This window comes from Homo sapiens, chromosome 6, assembly GCF_000001405.40.
Source record: "Homo sapiens chromosome 6, GRCh38.p14 Primary Assembly".
NCBI classification, from domain to species: Eukaryota; Metazoa; Chordata; class Mammalia; order Primates; family Hominidae; genus Homo; species Homo sapiens.
The window spans coordinates 150,637,186-150,655,871 of record NC_000006.12 but is presented as its reverse complement, the minus strand read 5'-3'; the positions used below and the strand labels follow the sequence as shown (position 1 = coordinate 150,655,871).

Below are 18,686 nucleotides of genomic sequence, written 5' to 3'. Positions count from 1 at the left end.
ATGTGGTGTTTGGTTTTCTGTTCTTGTGTTAGTTTGGTGAGAATGGTGGTTTCCAGCTTCATCCACGTCCCTGCAGAGGACATGAACTCATCCTTTCTTATGGCTGCATAGTATTCCATGGTGTATATTTGTCACATTTTCTTTTTTTTTTTTTTTTTTTTTTTGAGATGGAGTCTCACTCTGTCACCCAGGCTGGAGTGCAGTGGCACAATCTCAGCTCACTGCAAGCTCCACCTCCCAGGTTCACACCATTCTCCTGCCTCAGCCTCCCGAGTAGCTGAGACTACAGGCGCCCGCCACCATGGCCAGCTAATCTTTCGTATTTTTAGTACAGACGGGGTTTCATCGTGTTAGCCAGGATGGTCTTGATCTCCTGACCTTGTGATCTACCCGCCTCGGCCTCCCTAAGTGCTGGGATTGCAGGCGTGAGCCACCGCACCTGGCCATGTGTCACATTTTCTTTATCCAGTCTATCACTGATGGGCATTTGGGTCGGTTCCAAGTCTTCACTATTGTGAGCAGTGCCGCAATAAATATACGTGTGCATGTGTTTTTAGAGTAGAATGATTTATAATCCTTTGGGTATATACCCAGTAATGGGACTGCTGGATCAAATAGTATTTCTGGCTCTAGATCCTTGAGGAATCGCTACATCGTCTTCCACAATGGCTGAACTAATTTACACTCCCACCAGCAGTGTAAAAGCATTCCTATTTCTCTAGGAGACTTTTTTAAAGGAAAAGAGATGTTCAATACTTAGGTAGAGTTAATCTGCACATTTTCTGAATGCTGTAATTCTGTGCATATTTTTATAACTTCTATATTTGGTTTGTATAATGATTTTAAACTTTACATATTTTTAAAAATCATTTTCATAACACCACCAAGCCAGGCAATAATCAGGAGGTTTTGCAATGGAAGAATCTGAAGGAAAGCACTTCAGTGACTTTCTAAAGATCAAACACTGCATTTCCATCCCTGTCCTCTGGCATTCTGCCAAGAATCCCCCTGGATGGTTATATTCTTAGCAATGTCTAGCTCAATACAACAAGTTACTTATTCATAATGTGAATCCTTTATGCTATAGCCACCAATCATTCTTCTATTAGCTGCCTTACAATAAATCCATCAGCCCCGAGGAAAACAGTTACAAGGCCCTGGGACACAGTAGCAAGGTCACCTAGAAGACATGTGAAGGGCTGAGCGGTGTTGTTTCCTTCTTGAGCATGCCTTCGCCATATTATTTCTAAGTCTTAGAGGTAAAAAGCAGTCATATTTCAATCCCACAAAGCCTTCAGTGTTGAGATTATACAATACCAAGGTACCACAAAAGTAGCAACTGACCTGGGATGGGCTCAGTGTGGTCCTCCTGCACCTGCTCATGAGAGGGCAGTGACAGTGCCTCAGTCAGATGGGGATGGAAGAAACTGGAGGGTGATGCCTACCCTCCAGGGAAGAGCGCTGCCGCATAGTAGGGCCACAAGGCACCACGGATTACTGAGCACCGCTGTGCTGAGCAATGGCAAAATCTAGGCTGGAAAACATACCATTTCTAATCTTTGGTGTCTCTAATAAAAGGCACACTACTATCCTGTTACCCCACTCACCAGTGCAAGGGGCTCAGGAAATGCTAGCAAGAACAGCAAAGATCAGGACGCCCTCAGCACCCGGTGCCTGGACGTGCCTTGGAACATGAATGTGCATCTTTCTGCCGCCCGGGCAGTCCTGTGCTGTGTGCCCTAAGTGGCAGCTCTACCCTGATGCCCTTCCATCAAATAACCAGGGTAGGTGAAACCCTGGACAAGAAGGCACACAGAACAAAATGTAGAGACAATTTTGTTCAGAAAATTATCTCTGTATCTATCCATCTAGGAGTTTTTGTAGTACCGAATAAATTAGTCATGTTACAAAGCAAACAGAATATCAATGATTATGGAAAGGGAAATATTTATTTGATTTTAGGAAAACAGAAGGAACAACTACGGCCATCTAACCTAACAACATGCCATTTCTTTCTTCCTTTGTTGATATAAGCATGCATCTCTCTGATGAGCAGACATATCTATGGACTCATTTACAGAGAAGATCATTTCTAAAAAAGAAAATATTTACTCTTTTTTTTTTGCGATAGGGTCTCACTCTGTCACCCAGGCTGGAGTGCACTGGCACAATCTTGGCTCACTGCAACCTCTGCCTCCTGAGTTCAAGCAATCTCCCCACCTCAGCCTCCTAAGCTAGGACTACCAGAGCTCACCACCACGTCCAGCTGAGTTTTGTATTTTTTGCAGAGATGGGGTCTCACCGTGTTGCCATATTGCCCAGGCTGGTCTCGAACTCCTAGGCTCAAGCGATCCACTGGCTTTGGTCTTTCAAAGTGCTGGGATTACAGTCGTGAGCCACTGCGCCCAGCCTGTTTACTTTTATTTTTTTTTTGGCATTCAAATCACTGAATCTCACATACACGTGGGGGGTGAGCCTGACCTATAACACAGGTGGGGCCCCATGATGACTTTTGTGGCCCTTGGACAATTTGGCCTTTGTGAGCCTCTTCCTCCAGGAAAAAATATTAAATTTTACAACTGCATTGGTATAAAGACAAATATAATACAAGCTAGGTTCCATATTATATGTTCCTTATTACTATGTTCATTTTTTTTCTTCTGTTTTTAAAGTAAAGTTAAAACAATTCCATAGGCCACTGAAAGTATCATGGGCCCTGAGCACTGTGACTAATGAATAAGTCAGCTCCAGACCAGAACCTATTGATTTTCAAGCTACTCAGCATTCTAGTCATAAGTTAGAGAAAAGAACTTCTGGGACTTTCTTGCCAGTAATAAAGATCTGCAGTAAGAAAACCATTGTTTTACCAGTTAGCAAAACACTGATGAACTCTGACACAAGCAAAGTAATCTTGACTCTACTAAAATACTGTTTGTCTTTGTAATAACTTTGAGTACTTCAAGAATAGTTCAGTGTTTTAAATATTTATGTCTCCAATAAAGCATTATTATTTTGTGAGTTAAAGGCAAGGCTCTAACCCATTGTTGCACTTAAGCTTTTAATTGTTTTAGATTATTGCTTGGTTAAAAAAAAGACCTGGTATAAAATTGAAAGTATAAACCTTTTTCCTTTTTTCTTTTTTTTTTTTTTTGAGACACAGTTTTGCTCTTGTTGCCCAGGCTGGAGTGCAATGGTGCGATCTCGGCTCACTGCAACCTCTGCCTCCCGGGTTCAAGGGATTCTCCTGCCTCAGCCTCCCAAGTAGCGGGGATTACAGGCATGAGCCACCACGCCCAGCTAATTTTGTATTTTTAATAGCGACGGGGTTTCACTATGTTGGCCAGGCTGGTCTCAAACTCCTGACCTCGTGATCCACCCCCCTCGGCCTCCCAAAGTGCTGGGATTACAGGCATGAGTCACTGCACCCAGACGAAAATATAAACTTTTTTATCAGTAAAAAGTGATACCACTATGCTTACCAGACTAAATTTCTTCATCTATTCCTAACACTCTAATAAGCATTTGACGTATAAGCATAAGCGTGGAAATAGTTTACCATTGCAGGCCTTGACAAATAGTTCATAATGTGGTCAGAGCCTGATGAGTTAAAGTACTTAGGAAAGAAACAGAGTAAAATAATTGCCTGGACCTAACAGAAAGGCATATCTCCTCTTCCTTCTTTCCCTTTTAGTGTCATTGTGGTTTTTCAAGAACCAACACCACCAAGTTAAAATGAGATTTTCAATCTTAAAGAAAAATACGTTAAAAATACCACAGAACTTTTCTAGCCAATGAAAAGGATTTAAAATATTACCTAAAGACTAATTCAATAAAACCAGAAAGCCAATGGGAAGAAATGACTCTGAAATGGGTCATGTGCGATTACACTTGATTCCATTTTGAGTCTTTATGTATGTTAATCTGCAGTACGCATTTTCTTTAATTTTTATCCTTTGGTAACAATATTTGTCATTATTCTATACAAAATAGTTAAAGACTTTTTTTTTTCTTTTGAGAGAGAGTCTTACTCTATCCCCTAGGCTGGAGTGCAGTGGTACAATCTCCGCTCACTGCAACGTCTGCCGCCCTGCTTCAAGTGATTCTCCTGCCTCAGCCTCCCGAGTAGTTGGGATTACAGGCACGTGCCACCATGCCCAGCTAATTTTTATATTTTTAGTAGAGATGGAGTTTCACCGTGTCGGCCAGGCTGGTCTCGAACTCCTCATCGCAAGTGATCTGCCCACCTTGGCCTCCCAAAGTGCTGGGATTAGGGGCGTGAGCCACTGTACCTGGTCTAAAGACTGAGAATAGTTTTTTCTGTTTTAAAAAAGACTACAGGGCTGGGCATGGTGGCTCTCACCTGTAATCCCAGTACTTTAGGTGGCCGAGGTGGATGGCTCACTTGAGGTCAGGAGTTCATGACCAGCCTGGCCAACGTGGTGAAACCCCATCTCTACTAAAAATACAAAAATTAGCCAGTCATGGTGGTGCGTGCCTGTTATCCCAACTACTCCGGAGGCTGAGGCAGGAGAATCACTTCAAATCGGGAGGAGGTTGCAGTGAGCTCAGATCGCACCACTGCACTCCAGCCTGGGTGACAAAGCGAGACCCTGTCTCAAAAAAAGAAAAAACTGACTACAGTAGCTCCTCTAATAGGTGATTTCACTTTCTGCAGTTTCAGTTACCTGCAGTCAACTGTGGTCTGAAAATATTACAGTATTTTGAGAGACAGAGAAACTATATTCACATAACTTTTATGACGGTGTGTTGTTATAATTGTTCTATTTTATTATTCGTTGTTGCTAATCTTTTACTGTGCCTAATGTAGACATGAAAACTTATTATAGATATGCATGTATAGGAAAAACAATTCACATAGAGTCAGTACTATCCATGGTTTCAGGCATCCACGGGGCGCTTGGAACATATTCCCCACAGATAAGGGGGACTGCTATACTTGAAAATCGAAAAATGTGACTTACAGAGTACACTTATACAAAAATACTAACAAACTGAAATTATGAATACGTTCAGCTTTTAACATATGTTTCATACTCAAGGGGCAAAAAAATGAAAAGAGCTCACTTTTATAGTTGAAACCTTTTCAATGTCTTCACCCACAGACTCTTCTCATCAGTCTTCACCTGTAGTAAAAACAAAAAATAAATTGCTTTTTACTTAAATATTGCTTTCTCAGAATTCTTTTAGTGGAACATGGATGAGCTATCAGGGCTAATTTTAAGTTGTTTAAAAGGAAGACTAGATGCCAAAAGGCCAGGATATTCCCAGGAAAAGGCCATATCATGCTACTGGACTGTAATAGGCCTATAGCAGTAATCATAAACATTTAATTAAAAAATGAAAAAATTCACAGGATGTGGTATTAGAAAGTTACTGAAGTCCTATCATCCTTGATTTTCCCTTTCCCTTGAAATAATACTCAGATAATTCAAAAGGAGACTTGAACATACAATAGCTCTGTAAACAGAGGAGTTCAGTGACTTGCCAGAAACCAGGAAGAATTTCCCCCAACAAAGGAGAGAGAAAACGCGAGGCCATGAAGCAGGGAATGGAAGGAGAGGCTCTGATTTCAATCCTTCTCCACCGCAGCATCCCTAGCTCCAAAACACAAGTCCTCCAACAATTGCCTAAGGCCACAGCCACTCTTCTCTGAGTTCTTCTCACTTTCCATCAGTGCAAGAGAGTTGAGGGGTCGAGCTCATTGGGGTGAGGCTTACATCTGGTGAAATTTGGGGCTGCAGTTTTTCTGGTCACTGTTTTGGTTTTTTTTTTCTTTCTTTTTTTTTTTTTTTGAGACAAAGTTTTGCTCTCGTCTTTATTTTTATTTATTTATTTTTTTGAGACGGAGTCCCGCTCTGTCGCCCAGGCTGGAGTGCAGTGGCGCCATCTCGGCTTACTGCAAGCTCCGCCTCCCAGGCTCACGCCATTCTGCTGCCTCAGCCTCCCCAGCAGCTGGGACTACAGGCACACGCCGCCACGCCCGGCTAATTTTTTTGTATTTTTAGTAGAGACAGGGTTTCACTGTGTTAGCCAGGATGGTCTCGATCTCCTGACCTTGTGATCCGCCCGCCTCGGCCTCCCAAAGTGCTGGGATTACAGCCATGAGCCACCGCGCCTGGCCATTTTTTGTATTTTTAGTAGCGACAGGGTTTCACCATGTTGGCCAGGCTGGTCTCGAACTCCTGACCTTAGGTGATCTGCCCGCCTCGGCCTCCCAAAGTGCTGGGATTACAGGCATAAGCCACCGCGTCCAGCCTGGTCACTGTTTTTAAAAAGAAAGAACCGCAGACATTTCAACATTTGCAGAGTTTTAAAATTAAAAAAAAGTGCCTAGAAATTTCTCAGCTGGGTATCTTCATGAAGAAAAGTTACTCGAATATATTCCAGTTGATTGAGGGATGAATCAAAAGAAAAACTTCAGAGTGAAAAGGTAGATACACAATAGCACTGGTGGGGAACATTAAAGGCAGGCACAGAATGTGCTAATTATTATTATTATAAAAATAGCCCAACTAGAGTGCCGGATTCCAAAATTTTTGAAAAACAAAAAAACTTAATAAAAAGCTTTACTATAATTAGCTCCACCTAGGTCTGAAATCCTAGCTCATATGATCAAAAATGGGGAAATGAGTGGGGATAATGAAAATTAGCTAATTTTATTCTGCATAGGAGGAGTAAAAACAATGCAGTTTCATTTGTAACACGAGTACTTTTTCATTGAAGAGAATAAAGAAATTAAATGTTTAAGCTCAGTTAAGTCTGAAATAAATATGATATAGGCAAGACAAATTAAAAAAAAAGCAGGATTCTGTGATTTAAATATTTAAAAACAAGTAGGTGGTTCATTGCAGAATGAAATACTTCATGGGCAGATTTCTGACAAATTTGGTCTTAACATCCAACCAAAAACTAGAATTATTAGAGGACTATATCACAGAAACAGAAAAGATGAAAAAAATCATGAATACTATATAAAAATATCCTTGTGAATAAATTCAAACATTTCATTGGAAACAGTTTTATAAGGTGATATTTAATTATCAACACTGAACCAAAAATATAAAGGCTAAACAACTAATACATACAGTTTACCTCAAGGATTAGATAATTCCCAAACTATATGAAAAGCTTTCAAGATAGAGGGAAAATGAGGCTCCCCAATTTGATAAAGCCAGCACAAATCTGATAAGGTACAAAGAGAGAAAAGGAAGAGGCATGTTTGACTTAGATAAGATGTAAGAACCCTCAATAAAGTGCTCAGAAAACTCAATTTCTAGTATACAACACATCTCCATAAATAAGGTTTATTCTATAAATATTATATAAATAGATCCATTATGCCCTATCAATAGGTCACAAAAGATCAACACTTATTCTTATCTTCAAAGATGACAAAATGGCATGGGGTAAACTCAGCACCTACATATGGTCATCTCTCAGTGTATGGAGAAATAGGATAGTTTGCCATGATTTTTAAGAAGACCTGAAATCAATAGACATTTTTATTAAAAGTCAGGAATGAAAGTCTCACTGTGCAACAGTGAAAGAAAATAAACAGCCAAATTATCCCCATCAGCAGGTGACGAGGTTGAATACCTAGAAAGATACCATAAAAGAAATATCTTTTTAAAACCTATTAGAAATAGTAAAGGTTAAGATCATTTAAAACAAATTATTTAAAAAGCACTGGTTTTTATCCAGTGGCAGAAATGATGAGTCACAAACAAATTAAAATGAAGACAGTCTGAAAATAGATCATATTCAGAAAAATAATGCTTAAAGAATCTATATAGAAGACATTTAAAGAAATCTTTAGACAATGATTCCCTCATGAGAAATGATGAAAAATGCAAATGTACTTTTTTAAAAAAAGAAAAAAGCATCATCTAGTCAGGAAATTCAATATGAGGTAAACCAATGAGTTTATAATTTCAGTTATTATAGGAATATGAGAACAGCAAGAGGGCTTTTACAATCAGCAATGTTTATTTATAGGTGAATACTTGAGAACCTCAGAGGCTGTTCTATAAATTCAAAATAGGATTTTTTAAAAAATTAAGAATATTTGATTGTCTGGCCTTAAGTACAACATCCACTAATATATTATACTCAGGACATAAAATCCAATTAGAATTTTACGTCAAAACAAAACTTCATTACACTTCTGAAGGTTGGGGAAGTGTTAAAAATAGCCATCAGTGTTATATTTGTGAAAAGAAAATGCTGACTGCACTTCACTGAATCACGGTGAAACAGGTCATATTTTATTGCTTTTGGCCAAAGAACAATGCTAAACTTATAGTCTACACTATAAGCAAGGTGATGTTTAAAATAAGTTACATAGGCAAAACACAACTCGTGATTTGAGCATAAAAATAAATAAAATGTCAGGGTTGATTTTGTAAAAAGGAGACCAACCTATCACCATGTCCTTTTAACTACAGTGTCTAAAATAGGCTTACCTTTAATTTTAGACAACAGACTCAAAGCTATGTGTCCCTGACAATAACTGTGGATCAACTGTATTATTCCAGAATGAATGTTAACAACAATTACCCACGAAAGAGACCAATCTTGCTTTTTATATGCAGGACAAAATAAAAGGCCATTGTTATTCTATGTGACTAGGTAAAGTGGCTTTTAATGGTCTGAGTTAGGCATGGCTTAAACAAGGAATGATTTAAAGTCATGTCTGATAATACTTCTATATACGATACTGACTACACAAAGACCCAAAGCATAAAAATTTTCCCTAAAATGTCAATTATTTGATATATAGGAGCCCAATAAATTTGTTCGTAAGCACAAAATATGTTGTTTCTTGAGTAAAACACATGAACTTTGTAAAAGAAACAAGGAAACAAAGTGAGGGGAGAAATCCATATAAGGGGCTACCAGAAATGACAGGACTTCAGATCAGTGTCGAATTGTAATAATGCCAAAAGGGTAAATCTACCAATGTTCCTCCCATGAATTTCCAGAAAATATGATTTAAGTCCGTAACGAAGATGGTCAAGTACATGAAAAGAAAGGGAATATTTTTGAGGGGATATAAAATCTGATCACGTAAATCTCAAAAGAATCACTATTTGGAATAGATTCTTGCTGCTGCCCCTACCTGTCATCTTGGAGAGCCACATCACATTTGTCCATTCCAATCTGGGAATGTCAGCTAGGTAACCTGTGACTCTACATCCACTGCAACATAAAAACCCCTTTCTTGCTTCTACCTGCCCTTCTTTGAGCTGTTTCATTTCATTCATAGACATCAGCAAGTAACAATGGCCTGTGTAATACAAACTGGCTTCTATGAAGTGGGTGGAATAACATCATCTGTTGGTTTTGAAGCCTGACATCCATCTACCCTCCTTCTGGCATTCGCACCAACATTTTCCTCTCCCTTGCCCTACTCCCAGCCCATGTGCTCTGAATGACATTAATTAGGCTAAGCCATTCATCATGTTTCATCCCCCTAATTACTGTGATTAGTTCATGGATTGGCACATGGCCCACACCAGACCAATCAGGGCCACCGAGACCTAATTTTTGGGTTTTATGAAGAATAAAACAGAACTTTTCCCACTATTAGATAAGAACAAGAGAGGGGAGAGCTGCTGCAGCCATCCTGCAAACACGTAGGGTTCAAGGATAAGCCAACATGTAGAAACCCCATTCTGACAAATTTTGTGTGCTTTTGAACTGTAAAACAGGCTTGTACATACACGATTGTAACTTGCTTTCTCCCATTCAATATTGTGTGAGATATACCCGTGTCATTTTGCTAATTATGTAGTTCAACTGTTTGTACTGGTGGATAGTATGTTATTGAATAACTTGTGGTATATTTATATGCTCTGGTGTTTAGACCTGTAGACTATATGTATCCAGTTTGGGTTTTATTCCTACTAAAAGCAATGTTGTACATTTCTTCTGTATTCATGTGCTGGAGATTCTACATTGTATTTATCTGAATTGAAAGTGTTAGGCTGTTCATCATACACATGGTGAACTTTACTGGTAATTCTAAAGTTTTTCAAGGATTGTACCAATTTACACTCCACCCATAGTGTATAAGAGTTCCACTGGCTCTACACTACACTATGGCCAACACTTGGTGCTACACAATTGTAATTATAGCTATTCTCATGGGTGTGAAATGGTATTATTATGGTTTAAATTTGCATTTTCCTAATTACTGAGGTTGAGCATATTTTCATATGCATCTATGTTTCCTTCCCTGTGAAAAATCTGTTCATGCATTTTGCCCATTTTCTACTGAATTGTCTTCTGCTTATGAATTTGTTGGAGTTCTTCATATATTCTTCAATATATAAATCCATAGGTCTGTTATGGATTATGATTTATCTTCACTCTCAACAGAGGATCTTAAATATAATGCAGTTACATATGTCTATGGTTTAAAGATTTTTGTCTTGTTTAAGAAATTCTTTTCCTATCCCAAGGACATGAAAATATTCTTATATATTTCTTTTAAACACTTTGTAATTTCACATGTAAGTCCTCGATCCAGTTGAAATTGATGACTGTATATGGTGTGAGGCAAGGATGCATTTTCATTTTTTCCATAAGGATAACCAATTACCCCAGAGTCATTTACTAATTTATTCTTTCCACTTATTTGCAATGCACCTCTGTTACATATCAGGATTCTATATAAATGTGGGCCTGTTTCAAGATTACTATTTTTTGGTCTAACTGCTCATCCCTATTGCCAAAATCACACTGCCTAAATAACTATGATTTTGTAGCAATATAAATAACATTGCTAAATCCTTCTATGTGTTTCTTCAGAATTATTTTGGCTACTTATGAATCTTTGTTCTGTATACATTTTAGAATTAATGTAAGTTCCACCAAAAACATGTTGAATTTGATTGGGGTTACACTAGATCTACATATGAGAAAATCAACATCTTTATATTATAATAATGATATTGTCTATGAACATGTTACCTCTCCACACTATTTAGAGCCTTAAAAAATAACTTCCAGTGATGTTAAAATTATTCCATTTTCTACATAAAGGTCTCATATATCTTTCACTAGATGTATTTCTAGGGATCTTTCTGTTGTTCCTGGAGAAGTTACCTTTTAAAAAATATCCTGTTTTTTTCTAGAAAGGATATTACTAACTTAAAAAAATATATTTGGAAATACCAAGAAAAGTTGTAAAAATAAGAAGAATACAAAAAACACTATCGGCTGGGCACAGTGGCTCATGCCTGTAATCCCAGCACTTTGGGAGGCTAAGGTAGGTGGATCACAAGGTCAGGAGTTCAAGACCAGCCTGACCAATGTGGTGAAGCCCTGACTCTACTAAAAATACAAAAATTAGCCGGGTGTGGGAGTAGCCTGTAATCCCAGATACTCAGGAGGCTGAGGCAGGAAAATCACTTGAACCCAGGAGGCAGAGGTTGCAGTGAGCCAAGATTGCGCCACTGCACTCCAGCCTGGGTGACAGAGTGAGACTCTGTAACAAAAAAAAAAAAAAAAAACACGAAAAGAAAAAAACCACTCTCTTTTCCTAGCTCTTCCTTGTCAAATGTTTATTGACTTTATTAGTTCTTTAATAGGGCCAAATTCTGGTTCTGGCATGCTATAGGCACATATAATTCTTTGGCTATAAGCAAGAAAATCCACCAGCTACAGAATTCACAATGGAAACTGGCTGACCAAAGTAGGAAGGGAGAGAATGTCAACTCAACAAATCACCTGAATTTTTCATTCATGGAGGTAATTTATTTAAATACCTCAAAATTCGTTTATCCACTTAACAAATATTTACGATTATGTACAAACATCCATTTCTATTCTCAGAGACCTCCAAAGACAGACACACGCTCTATAGCTTTCCTTGCAAATTCAAGTCAATTTTAATTTCTAATTTGATATTTGCAAACGGCCATTTCTTCTTTTGAAAAAAAAAAAAGTGGGTGTCAATCACTTAGGGGGAAAAAATCCTAGAATTTGAAAGTGGAAACCACAGAGGAGAGGTACAAATCTTTTAGTAGCTATTTCTTAGCCTCCTAACCAGTAGATACATGAGTTTTACTCATCATTTGATTCAATTATGTAGTGAATGCCTGGTATGAGCCGGGCATTACGCAGGCATGAGGAATTGCAAAGTGAATAAAGTATGGTATCTTCAAGAAACACGGCTCACATTTTGGAAAAGCTACATACATCAAGCAGTTTTTAATCCATTGAATTGTTTTCAGTGGTGCTTTGACAGATATATCAGGAAAGATTTGTCAAAAGAAAGGTTCTCCCCACCCAATCTAGATATTGTATATCAGATTTGCCTGTCTCATCAGGCACCACATGCTGCATGTAAATGCAATTTATGAAATGAGTTGAGCTTTTAAGATGAGTTCAGTTTCCAGTTTGTATCAATTCCTAGGTTCCACAGGACACACACCAATATGAGGCAGGACTGATTGAGGTTCTTACTACATTATTAAGATGTGTTACACTGATACCAGATACTTCCAGAATCTGGGCTAGATTTCATGGTAAGTTGACTGTGAGCTTTTAAAAAGGAAACTAAAAGCAGACAAACAGCAAGAACTCAACACCAAATTTTGATGGTCCAGACCTTAGATTTTTACCATTTCCTGTTTATTTTTTTTAAACAGGCTAAAAGTTGGCATAGTTACCTGGCAAAGGATAATTAATTCTAATACTTAATTAGAGATGAGGCATTCCAGTAGGTGACCTCTTCCTCATATTCCTTGGTATGTCTCTCTGTTTTTCATACTTACAGCAAAGACGGCCTCTTAATAAAGAAAAGCTGGCCAAAGAACTGGGGATTCCGTCACTATTTTCCTTAAGTTTTTAAAGTTGGAGGGGATGCTGGGCAAAAATGCAAAAAGTAGGGAATGTTTCTTCAATGAATGAGCTTCACTTAAGTACCGCTACTATTACAGGTGCTGTTATAGGCACTGGGGTTACATAGAAAAATACTGAACCACTGCCTAAGACATCAGGTTCTTGAAGGGTTACATACCAGGAGACAAACTGGATAGCAGCTATATTACAAGTGCTGTAATACAGTTATCAATGCTTTTAGTTGAGCAACCTGTGCTACTCCTAAAATGCCTTGAATGCATCCAACATTTGAGCACCAACAGCATACCAGTGCAGGTGCTAAGGATGCAGCCATGATTGGGACAGATTCAGTCCTTACCATCACAGGACCTTTAGCCAGTGGGATGGCTGGCACAGCATTAAAGACAATGCCCAAAGGCAACTGTAGTTATACAGTAAACTTTTAAAAGCATAACAAAATACAACTTTAATATTAAAATCTTGGTCTTGGCAGCATTCCAGTGGAGGAAAATTATGGGTAAAACAAGATTTTCCAGAGATACTCAAGTCCAGGCATAAATAAGGAAAAGGAAGGTGATTATGAAAGTTAGCAAGGTTTTGGCAGATTCTACACGTAATAAAATGGAGGAAGCCACAGAAACTGAGCAACATTTTCTAAGCAGAAAAATTTTATAAGCACCACCTTTTATAGAGTTCAAGAGCTTCTTTCAATCTAGGTCAATAACTTCAAGCAATTCAGAATGTGTTAACAAGCAGTGAAAATGAATGTTAATTAAAATAATAAAATTCCCTCAAATGAACAGAATTCAGCTGGCTGTGGTTTCCAAAGTTGTACTATCTCATAAGTCAAATAGATTTAATAAGGGGAAACAGGACATTAGGTTTCTTGTGCCACTTATTTAATAAACTAATATTTTAGGAGATAACTTTAAAATCTGAATTTGTATTCACCCATTTATTTAATGGTGAAGCACAGTTTTTTTTTACCCAGGCTTCTGTAAAAATATACTTTATTCGGGAAATGTGTTACATCACTTGAAAAAAAAAAGGGTTACTTACATCACTTGAAAATATTCTATTTAGAAAGGTAATTTCCTTTTGCTTTTTTTTTTTTTTTTTTTTTTTGCCTTTTCACATCAGTCAAGTAAAACAGGCTTTGACATATTGGTTTTTTAAAAAGAGAACTTCCAAATATATCACAGAGTTTTTATTTAACATCTATCCTGAGGCTATTTCAGATGAGCTTTCAGTTTCAGGGGAGGGAAAAAGGAAACATGGATACGAAGGGCTGGCTTCCAATAAAACGTTTTACACTTACTACCAAACAGTGATTTATTCATCCACACGTTCCACAGCACCACAGCCACCAGCACTTCCTGGAAATCTTTGGTTTTGCTAACATGGACCATTTTTACTTCTAAAAAAAGGGGAACTGTTCATATTGAATATTGTAGCCCATGAGGAAAGTAAGAGAGACAACTGACATATGCAGAAACACCTTGCCATTTTCAATCCGGACTTGAGAAAACTTTTACTTTCACTAAACCTTCATTAGCATATCTAACATGTGCTTACACGGTTATTTTGCTGATCTTAAAATGGTTCAAAACTGAATATGATTACCATTTCAAAAATCTTTCATAGAGTCTGAACTTCACAGATCATCTCTTTTGCACAATATTTTTGCTTTCCTTCACAGAAACCATCAGGGTTTTCGTCAATCTATCTTGCCAGTTTAGACTATATTAAACTTGTTTATTTTAGAATAATTTTATTTAGAATATAGATATGTATGGTTTCTAGTTTCTAACTCCATGAACAGAGTAATATTTCTCCAGATTCTGTTTATGTGCATGTTCAGCCAAGATATCTTCACTACATAAAACGTAAAAGAGCCTCTAATAGTGGGGGCATTTGGCTGTGTGTGGAGTTAAGCCCAGATCAAAGGGCAGGACACTTGTAGTGCACAGATAAGCTAGAGCATTCTCTAGCCACAAGTTTTTCACTATGAAACTGACATTTAGTGCCCACTAAACAACTGACATATAGTACTCCTGCCATAAAATTAGTTAGATTTGCACTTTCTGATCTAAATATTCAGCAACTATAGGTATTTCTTTAACATCTGTCCCCAATATTAGACCACAGGAGACCCCATTTCTCTGTGTACCACAGCATGCCCGATGCCCAGCACATGGCAGATGCTCACAAATAATTGTTAAATGAATAACCAAGCAGAATGTGCTCACTGGATTTAGTGGCATGAGGTCAGTGAGAGCAGTTTTGGGAAATTGTAAGGGCTAAAGTGGAAACAGTTCAGGGCGACGAGTGAAACACCATGTATCTTACACAAGGCCTGAGAGGAGGGAAGTAGAAAGAGCTAGCGTGGTGTGGGTATTCCAAGCAGGGTTTTGCGTGGGAGAGTCCGGATGATATATAAATGGTGACAAGATAGATCTTTTAGAGAGGAAGGGGTAGAAAATACTGAAAAAGGAAGAGTAAGCCAAAGCATCCCTGAAAATACAGGAAGAATGAGGACCCAGGGACCAGTGTTAATTAAGATGGGGACACGTTTGCTGTTATGACAAAGGCAGGAACATGATGGTTCTTGGTAGATGTGGTGGCAGGCCATGGCCCTGTGTGTTCTCAAGTGATTTCTATTTGCTCGGAGAAGTAAAAGTCAAGATCATCTTCTGAAAAAGTTGGGCAAGCCTGCGCATTTGGGAAGAGTTGGGAAAATTATAATTAAGTCATTTAGGAGAGTCAGTCATGAGCTGACTAGAAAAAAAATAGAAAGTCTGTCAATATCACATTCTGCACCATCAACAATCAGGTGATCGGTCCTACTGGCGGGACGCCGGCCTGGGCATGTGCTTAGCAGACAGCAGGTAGGGCCAGATGGGTAACCCTACAGGGAAAGCAGTGGCTTTGGAATCGAAAGATTTGGGCCCAAGGCCAAGATCTGCTATTAAGGAGCTGTCCGACTTGGAGGAGTCATTTCACTTCTTTAGGCCTTAGGGTTTTTCCATTTACAAAATGACAGAGTTGCGTAGAAACCTCCGAGGTCCCTTCTAGCCCTAAAAGGACTCTTTATAAAATAACCAGCAAATTAGTCTAATGGCAGCATCATTGATACAGAATAAAAGTTCAGAATTGAACAGGAACCATAATTCCTGCCTGGTCCATGGCTCCATTGCTTTCCGACATGCATTACACAAGACCTCCCCTCTGGTCTGCCTCCCAGTCTACTTGCACCCTGACAGCTACACGATAAACATGATCATATGGAGTTCTTTGCTTCAATCCTTCCCATGGTCCCCATCACTATGTAGATGAGCCCAGACTCTTCAGGCCAGCCCAGGAAGCTCTTGGTCATCGGTTCCCACTCACCTGCCTGCTTCATTGTCTCATTGAAATACTAACTGCAAAATTGTTTTTCAAAATAAAAAAAAAAAAGGATAGGAACAGATTTGTTAAAGGACATAAAATTACAGCTAGACAGGATGAATAAATTCTAGTGTTCTAGATCACCAGAGGATGACTGTAATTAACAATAATACGTAGTTCCAAATAGCTAGAAGGATACTGAATATTCCAAACACAAAAAAATGATAAATGTTGCAGATGATGAACATCATTATGTATTCCATGAATATGTTCATTGTCAATTTCTTAAAAATTAAAAAAGAAAAATAGAGAAATATATAGCATTTTTAAAAATTAATGCATTAATAAGGGTTATTTGAATCCCTTAAACATACCCATCCTCTATTCTAGTGGCATATATATTGTCTTGCTATTTTAAGACAGTTCAATTTTAAAACACTGTACTCAGAGATTGGGGCCAAGCGGTTCTCAGCAGCAACAGTGAAAATTTTGTGGCTGGGTTAAAATATACTAAAGTGAATTCTTTTCACTTTCTAAGGTGAGTACAATATAAGTTAAAGCCTTCCCAAAAGAAATGGGCTTTCCAGAGGAAGTGAAGACAGAATATAAATAACATTCCCCACTCATTAAAAGAATGGTATTCAATGATGTTTACACATGTGGTTATCACTCTTTAAACTTAAGTCTAAATATACTTTTAAAGCTGTAGGTAAAGTAGTAATTTACTGAAGCCAAACCACAAAGAAATTTCAGGAATGCATCCAGGTTATATAATTCTATTCCCTGCTATATAAAGAGAATTCTAATAGCTTCTATTTTGGTCATCTATTCACCAGTTTTGACTTAGAACTGATTTTTGGAACATAAAATAATTTGAGAAATTAAGTTTCAGTTTAATTAAGTTTTTAGGTAAGAGGCAGAAATGTAAGCTCCCCACCACTGAACAGCAATTGTTACACAAGGGGTACCTGGCAAGGGGGCTTCTACCTGCCCCCAGAACTCTCCATCCTCTCCCTCTCATGTTTGGGAATTTTCTTGTCCTCTTGACACCTTTATTTACCTTCATTTCAGAAATTCTACACTAGCAGGAGTGACCCTGGCAAGAGAGGGAGGGGCAATGAGAAGAAAGGTTCAAGCAAGGGTCAATGAATGTTAGGAAAAAATCAGCTTCTGGCTGAGTGGTAGGGGGAGGGGTGGTGTTCCAGAACCTTCTGTGTACTTGAGGTGGAAGGAGGGCAATTGGACTAGCTTTTACAGAAGACTTGGGAGATGGAAGGAAACACATTAAAAAACGACATGAGAGCACAGGAGGTAGGAAAGACTAAATTATTCCAGGGAGCCATAAGACACCTAACTTAGCCGGAGCTGCGGCCTTGGTGGAAAACAGAAATACATTCTATCTAAAATTTAATAAATTCAGTATGTGCTTCTGATGCTGGAAAATAAAAATTCTAAGCAATCCAAGAAGATCATCTTTGAAGAACAATACCTTCTTAAGGGCCAGGGCAATATCCATAGATATTCACTCTCCTTTCCTGGAAAGAATAACAAGAATGAGAAAGCGCTCAGATTTTAAACAAGTAAGTGCCAAAATATAAATCTAATGGACTAAATGATAGCATTTATATGGCTAAGCCCTCATTCAGTAGGCTGGAAAATTTAAGCCAAGGAAATCTCTAATACATACAATAAAAAACAAAGAGAAGGAAAATAATAAAGAATCGCTTTCAAGAGGCCTAAAATCCACCTACTCGATTTCTAGGTGAAGATACATTAATATTAGTGGGGAGAAAATATCCTAAGCTAGAGAAGACTTCAGATAGTAAAGCTCAAAAATAAAAGGACCGATGACAAAAAGATAGTGGTGAAATTTTAGAACTAAGGATAAAGCAAAAAGTCCTATATGGTTCAAAGAGGTAAAAAGACACACACACACTCACACACACAATCAACTATGTCGTAAGTCTAACATCAGACTTATTGGCTACACTAGATTGTAGGTATCAGAGGTGCAATGCCTTCAAAGTTCAGAAACAATAATTTTGAATCTAGACTGAAATAATCAAGTGTGAAAGCAAAATCAGACATTTTCAAACATGCAATAACAGTGCTTACCATCTATGCATATTATACATCAAAAGTTACTCAAAGGGAGGAGCCTACCAAATGAAAAAAGGAATCTAAGGAAGAGGATGACATGAAATTAAAAAAGTAAAAAAAAAAACCCAAAAACAAACAAACAAACAAAAAACAGTAAAAGCTAAATATAACCCCAAAGCAGAGAAATGTCTATAAAGAAGTGAAGCTACTGGGAAAATCTCCTTCAAGTGGCAAAATTTCATGACCCACGATGGGAGTTCTTTCTCTATGGATCTAATTCTATTACTCGGCTCCGCAGTGAATAATATTTGCATAATGGCTTTAGGTTT

General features: G+C 38.1%; 1 protein-coding gene across 9 annotated transcripts in view; it reads right to left on the bottom strand.

The window, feature by feature from the left end:
* PLEKHG1 (pleckstrin homology and RhoGEF domain containing G1) overlaps positions 1-18,686 on the bottom strand; it is a 243,781-nt gene that overhangs the window by 187,794 nt on the left and 37,301 nt on the right. For 5 of the 9 annotated variants that reach the window (NR_138136.2, NR_138137.2, NR_138140.2 and 2 more), the window contains exon 2: positions 5,086-5,144. The exons of 1 other annotated variant lie outside the window; for it this stretch is intronic. The gene's annotated coding sequence lies outside the window, so the exon portion shown is untranslated. Of the gene's footprint in view, positions 1-5,085; positions 5,145-17,746; positions 17,793-18,686 lie in introns of all 9 variants that reach the window. 3 more of the 9 variants (NR_138138.2, NR_138139.2, NM_001329804.2) reach the window with 1 other exon arrangement.